At 45.7% G+C, this 7,347-nt stretch overlaps 1 annotated feature.

Annotated features, from left to right (window-relative positions):
* Positions 210-459: a silencer, noted in NCBI's record as "silent region_16877". NCBI's record gives its function as "represses an Ori minimal core promoter by ATAC-STARR-seq in GM12878 lymphoblastoid cells {active_cell/tissue: GM12878}" and the evidence as "EXISTENCE:reporter gene assay evidence [ECO:0000049][PMID:35858748]".

Below are 7,347 nucleotides of genomic sequence, written 5' to 3' on the forward strand. Positions count from 1 at the left end.
TTCTCGTGCCAACGCTGCACCTCGGGGCGTGTTCTCCCACCCATCTGTGCTCAGGCATCCCTTCCCTCTCCTCTGGATTTTGTTTAGGCCTATTTGCAATTTCTTAAAAAAAAAAAAAAATCTAATAAATAGTTGGAGCCTGAAAGAGAGCTGGCCAATGAAACGCCGCGTTGGGGCATTACCGCATCGGTGAGGCCGCCCATTGGCTGGCGTGCCCTGAGGCGATGGCTGCGTTTCCCCGGCACCGCCCCGCGCCGGTGCCCACGCGTCCCGGGCTTCAGGGGAGCACCTGGGAAGCGCTGGGGGTCGCGTGCCCTTGGCCGGAGGCCTGGTCACCCGCAGGCCCTGCCATCCTCGGCTTGGCCGCTGCTGCCCGCGCGCCTGTGGCGGAGCGAGCCTGCCTCCAGGGCAGCCTCACCGCCTGGATCCTGGGCAGGAGACCTCCCAGGTAATAACCGTGATCACGGTGTTGATGCTCACTCTGGGGCAAGGGTGCTCACGTGTTCTTGTACTTGAGCGGAGTAGCCCTTCCTTCAAAGTCAGCCCCGGTCCCCTTGCACTGTGCAGCCCTCTCTGCCGGACCCAGCCCTTAACTTCTAAAATGCTCATTGCCAGCGCCCTTCGTTTGGTATTTGTAGCAGATACTGTCTCCTGGTGCAGCGCCATGTCCGTTCCCCCTTTCTACCATGATATAAAACCTCCTGATTTTTAGCTAGGCGCATGGCTTCTGGAATCAAAACTATGTTCCCAATTCCCTTGCAACTAGATGTGAGTAAGTTCAGGCCAATGGACTGGTCATGTTCTACTTCCAGGAAGTGTCCCTAAAATAAAGGAATATGTCTTTTTAGGTCCCTTCCTCTCTCCAGCTGTCTGGAATGGAGCCGCCATGTCTGGTGCTCAAGCGGCCAGCTCTGACCCAGAGGTAACACGTTATGGATTGTGGAGCCGCAGGATGGAGTAGCCTGGGTCTGATGGTTCTGTTAGTCAAGGCTATCCAAAGAAGCAGGACCAATAGGAAATACATATGTTTACGTATGTATATATGTTATGTATATGCTATGTATACACACACACACACACACACACACACAGAGAGAGAGAGTTAAGAAAGTGGCTCATGTGATTGTGGGACTGGCAAGTTCAAAATCTGCAGACCCAGAGAAGAGCTGATGTTGCAGCTCAAGTCTGAAGGCAATTTCGGGGCAGAATTCCCACTTCTTCAGGGGACCTCAATCTTTTCTCTTACAGCCTTTTACTGATTGAATGAGGCCCACCCACATTATGAAGGGTCACCTGCTTTACTCGAAGTTTACTGATTTAAATGTTAATCACGTAAAAAAAAAATCTTCACAGCAACATCCAGATTAGTGATTGAGCAAAATCTGGTTGCCATGGCTGTTATGGACTAAGTTTTGTCTCCCCCAAATTCACGTGTTGAAGCCTGAACCCCTGATAACTCAGAATATGACTGCATTTGGAGACAGGGTTGTAAAACAGGAATTAAGTGGCCTGGGTGCGGTGGCTCACGCCTGTAATCCCAGCACTTTGGGAGGCTGAGGCAGGCAGATCACGAGGTCAAGAGATTGAGACCATCCTGGCCAACATGGTGAAACCCCATCTCTACTAAAAGATACTAAAAGATACAAAAAAGATATCTCTACTAAAAGATAAATAGCCGGGCATGGTGGCACGTGCCTGTAATCCCAGCTACTTGGAGGCTGAGGTAGGAGAATCGCTTGAACTGGGGAAGTGAAGGTTGCAGTGAGCTGAGATCGCTCCACTGTACTCCAGCCTGGTGACAGAGCGAGACTGTGTCTCAAAACAAAACAACAGAAGAATTAAGTTAAAATGAGGCTTTTAGGGTGGACCCAAATCCAAGCTGACTTGTGTCCTTATAAGAAAAGAAGATTAGGACACACAGAGGGGCACTGGGATGCATGTGCACAAAAGGATGACCATGTGATGGAAGGGGAAGCAAGAAGGTGGCAAGCCCAGGAGAGAGGCCTTTGGAGACACCAACGCTGCCAGCACTGTGGTCTTGGATTTCCAGCCTCCAGGACTGTGAGAAAATAAATTTCTGTTGTTTAAGCCACCAACAGTCTGTGGTATTTTGTGTGGCAGCCATAGCAAATGAACACACATGACCTTGCCAAGTTGACATGTAAAATGAACCATCACAACAGTGCTTATTTAACAAGACTGCATGTGCTTCGGAGGCAGGCACAATGCATTCTTCTCTGAAAATTATGTGGTTGTCATAAATTGCTAAAGAGTTTGAGCTTTAAAACCATCAATGCTAGTGGGTGATTGAAGGTGGTAAGCAGGGAGTGCCAAAGTCAAATTTGGATTTTAGAAAAATCTCTGAAACCAGTGATGGGTAGAGGAGAGTGAGATTGCAATCAGAGAGACCGGTTAAGGGTTGATGTATGAAGACAGGTAGAAGATAGACACAAAGGGACAGTGATGGTGGGAAGAGGAGAACTGAACCGCACATTGGCAGGAGGAATAAGGAAGAGGGAAAACTGAGGGAGAATCCCAAGTGTCTCGTTTGAGAGGCTTAGGGGGATGCTGGTGTCATCAACTCAAGTAGAGAATGCAGCTGATTTCTCCTTTTGTGGTGGTGAGCCTGGTGCAGCATCAAACAATTCATTTGCTTTTAGGCATATTGAGTTTTATTTGCCTTTGGGACATCTGCATAAGGATTCCAGCAGGCAGTTTGATATGCTAGCATGGAGCTCAAGTCTGGTTGGAATCCAGATTTCTATGTCTGTCTCCATCCAGCAATTAAATTTCCAAGAGCAGTGAACCTTCCCACCACACTTGCGTGTCTCGGTCCTAGCTCTTCCAAACATGCATGACTAGTTGCTTTTGTTTTCCTTTTTGGCCATTGTTATCCCAATAAGATCAATTTCAGAAAGGATGTGAGCACCATTGAGGACCCCCTTGTAATAAAGACCCAATTGTAATTCATAACAGACATGAATCATATTCTGCTGTTCTGGGGGTCTTTCTAATTTTTTTTAAATTTAGAATCTTTGAATATCTCCCCCAAAGACCTAGGACTAGCTTGAATGTTAGAAGGATCTGTCTCTGGGCTGTACGGAGGAGTGTGGCTGCTATTTGAGAGCAGATTCTCGTGAGAAAACATTTCTCCCCCATGGAATTTTCTTCCATGAGTCTAAACCCATCCTGGCTCAGGGCCCTCCCAGTCTCCTGCACTGAGCAAGCAGATAGGGAGAGAGCAAAGAGGGGTGGTCTGGAGTTTTAGGATCTGCATTTGAATCTCTCCTCTTGATTTGCAGCCCTGGGCAAGTCTCTACCAATCTCTCGTTACTGAGCACCTGGTTTATGCCAGGTCCCAGAGCTTTTTGGGTTCTATCTAGGCCTCAGCATCTACATTGGACAAAAAGGGTAAATATTTCTGCCATGCAGGGTTATTATGACAAATGCAATGAAATAGTAAAGGTGGAAGGGCCTCTCACAGTGCCTGCCTCAGAGTAGAAAGTCAATAAATGCTAGGGCATTCTGTGTCTGAAAATCTCACCTCTAATTATTCTCTTTCCCTTCCCAATTATACAAAACAGCAGCAGCAGTAACAGCAACCACAAAATGCACTCCAAGGTACTTCTAACCATTTCTTGCTGGGGGAATGTTTGCATCCTTGGTTAGTTAAAAATTTTGTGTTCCTCCCGTGTCAGAAGCCCCTGGATCTTGTGTGAAGCTGTGCATTCCTTGATTAGTTTGTTTCTGTCCTTCTGTGGCTTGTTCTAAAGGGCTTTGCTGCTGCCTTCATCTGGGGAAATTCGCACACTAATGCAGTGGTATCTCATCCCAATCTATTAGGTGTGACAGCTACTGGCAAGAAAGAGATTTGTGTTTTACTCTATGTTGTCCAGCAGGGACCTCTATCACCCAAAGGGAAACAGCCACCTATCTATGAAGCGGTGATCTCCCCTACAAGCAAGAGAGCTCAATTGCCGGGAGGTCTTTGCTTTTTCTGGCTTCCGGGAATGCAGAAATCTCAGGGAGCCACTACTGGGCTCTTTCCCCATAGGATGTTGGGCCAGGCAACAGAACAAACCTCCTGAGGCACTTCTACCTGGGAATGACCTCCTGAGGCCGATGGCAGCCCTCTGATGAAGACACTGTAGTATTTATTTTTTGCAAATGTTGGTGATCATCCAGCGTACATCTCTGCTTAGTGAACCTTCGTGAACTGGAGGCCGAACATTCTCATCCTGCCTTGGTAGAACCACATAGGTTGGTTCCAGGCTGTTTTCTGTGCAACCCTCAACATGGCAGTAATAGTGATGACGATGCTAATGATGATTGTAAAATCCGCAGTAGTTTCCATTTATTGCCCTGTTTGGCTTGTAAGACTTGGTAGATCACAATGACACTCTCTCTCTCTCTCTCTTTCTTTACTGTGAGCCAGGGACGGGACAAAGCACTTTGCATGCATTATAACACTTTTCCTAACAATCCTGTAGCAGGCAGTAGTAGCATCCCCGCTTTATAACTAAGGAAGCTAGAGTTCAAAGAGGTGAAGAGCTTGCCTTGAAGTTCAAGGCCATACAGCCCAAAGTGGCAGAATCAGACCTGCACCCATGTCCATCTGCACAAAGCTGGTGCTTCTACCCTGTACAACACAGTGTGTTTCCAGTGGGCTGTGACTCTCCGGTGGTGGAACAAGCCTTGTCAATTGCTGTCTGCCACATCCAGTCTGACCTGGTTGCCTGGGCATTCTCCCACCCCATGGGCAGCAGCTGCTCTTGCTGCCAGGGCTCCAGGGTGTGGGCAGCGGATGGGAGGGAGGGGAGGCCAGCTGTGCAGCTCTGCCGAGCTGGGACAGAGCTGGGAGGCAGGGTGCCTATTGATTGACTGAAATTGGATTTGTTGATACAAACTGCCAGCATTTCACAGTGATGAAAGGATTGCCCACCAGCCTCATAACAAGCAGAGATTTCCCTGAGGGCCACCAGAGCTGCTGGTGTGGCTCTTTTGTGAGGAGAAGAAAGCAATTAGGAGAACGGGTGAGGTTATTAGGTCTTATTGCTTCCCTCAGCTCCTGCACACACCGAGTGCTGCCCAGTGTGGGATTTCAGGCTCCCTGTCCTATGTCCTGCGGATTCTGTTTGCGCCTCTTCCACTGCGTAAAGCCAGCTGGGGGACAAACAGCTCGTGTACACTGACTCCAAGCATATGGAGAATGCACACACAGATTTAGGGCACCAAAAGAAACCAGCAGGTGGAACCAGCTTTAGCAGACTTTAAAAATAACAAGATCATTGGAGTATAAATACAAATCCATGAATGCACGAGGCACACCCGTCTCTCTCTCCCTTGCTTTCTCCATCCCTTTTTATGTTTTGTCACATTAAAAATATTTAGACTGGTTTGGTTTAAAAGATCTATTCAGGTAAGTTGGCCAACTACACATGTCTACAGATGGGCAGGGGAGGAAGAGGAGAGGAGGGTATGTTCTGTCAGGACAGCATTGGTTTAGCAAGTGTTTATTGAAATCTGGAATATGCACAGCAGTAGGGGTGGGTGTATGAGGGGGAGAGGTAAGAAAATATCAGGAATAATGTCACCTTATATTGTATAAGTGGGTTTTTGTGGCAAAATATACATAACATAAAATGTACCATTTAACCATTTTAAGTGCACAGTTCAAGAACATTAAGTACTTTCACATTATGTATGGTGCAGCCATCACCACCATCCACACCATCCATCTTCAGAACATTTTCATCTTCCCTAACTGTAAATCTGCCCTCATTAAACAATAACTCCCTATTCCCCCCTGCCCCCAGCTCCCGGCAACCAACATTCTACTTTCTGTCTCTATGAATTTCACTACTTTAGGTGCCTCATATAAGTGAAATCATGGAGTATTTGTCCTTTTGTGACTGGCTTATTTCACTGGGCATAATGTCCCTAAGGGCCATCCATGTGGTAGTATGTGTTGGAATTTCCTTCCCTTTAAAGGCTTAATAATATTCTGTTCTATGGCTAGGCCACATTTTGTTTATTCATCATCCATTGATGAACACTTGGGTTGCTTCCATCTTTTGGCTATTGTGAATACTGCTACTATGAACATGAGTGTACAAGGATCTGCCTGAGATCCTGCTTTCAATTTTGGGAGGTATATTTCCAGAAGTGGGATTGCTGGATCATACAGTAATTCTGTTTAATTTTTCTGAGGAATTGCTATAACATTTTTTCTACAGTAGCTTCATCATTTTACTATTTTACATACCCATCAGCAATGTGAAAGTGTTCCAATTTCTCCACGTCCTTGTCTACACTTGTTATTTTCTGGGTTCTCTTTCTGGTTCTCTCTCTCTCTCTCTTTTTTTTTTTTTTCCATAATAGTCATTCTAATGAGTGTGAAGAGGTATCTCATTGTAGTTTTCATTTGCGTTTCCCTAATGATTAGTGATGATGAGCATCTTTTCATGTACTTATTGGCCATTTGTATATCATCTTTGGAGAGATGTCTATTTAAGTTCTTTGCCCATTTTTAATTGAGTTGTTTGATTTTTATTGTTATGTTGCTTTATTTTTATTTTTATAATGGCTAGGATTAGAGTTGTGGATTTACCCCATTTTGTGGAGAAAATGAAGGTCATAGAAGTTCAGGAACTTGCCCGATGTCTTCCAGTTGGGTGGGACTGAAGTGCAGCCTTTTGGCTTCTTTTTTTTTTTTTTTATTACACTTTAAGTTCTAGGGTACATGTGCACAACATGCAGGTTTGTTACATATGTATACATGTGCCATGTTGGTGTGCTGCACCCATTAACTCGTCATTTACATTGGGCATATCTCCTAATGCTTTCCCTCCCCCCTCCCCCCATCCCACAACAGGCCCTGGTGTGTGATGTTCCCCTTCCTGTGTCCATGTGTTCTCATTGTTCATTTCCCACCTATGAGTGAGAACATGCGGTGTTTGGTTTTTTTGTTCTTGCAATAGTTTGCTGAGAATGATGGTTTCCAGCTTTATCCATGTCCCTACAAAGGACATGAACTCATCCTTTTTTATGGCTGCATAGTATTCCATGGTGTATATGTGTCACATTTTCTTAATCCAGTCTATCATTGATGGACATTTGGGTTGGTTCCAAGTCTTTGCTATTGTGAATAGTGCCACAATAAACATACGTGTGCATGTGTCTTCATAGCAGCATGATTTATAATCCTTTAGGTATATACCCAGTAATGGGATGGCTGGGTCAAATGGTATTTCTAGCTCTAGACCCTTGAGGAATCGCCACTCTGTCTTCCACAATGGTTGAACCAGTTTACAGTCCCACCAACAGTGTAAAAGTGTTCCTATTTCT

Source organism: Homo sapiens, chromosome 6 (genome assembly GCF_000001405.40).
Source record: "Homo sapiens chromosome 6, GRCh38.p14 Primary Assembly".
Taxonomy (NCBI): Eukaryota; Metazoa; Chordata; class Mammalia; order Primates; family Hominidae; genus Homo; species Homo sapiens.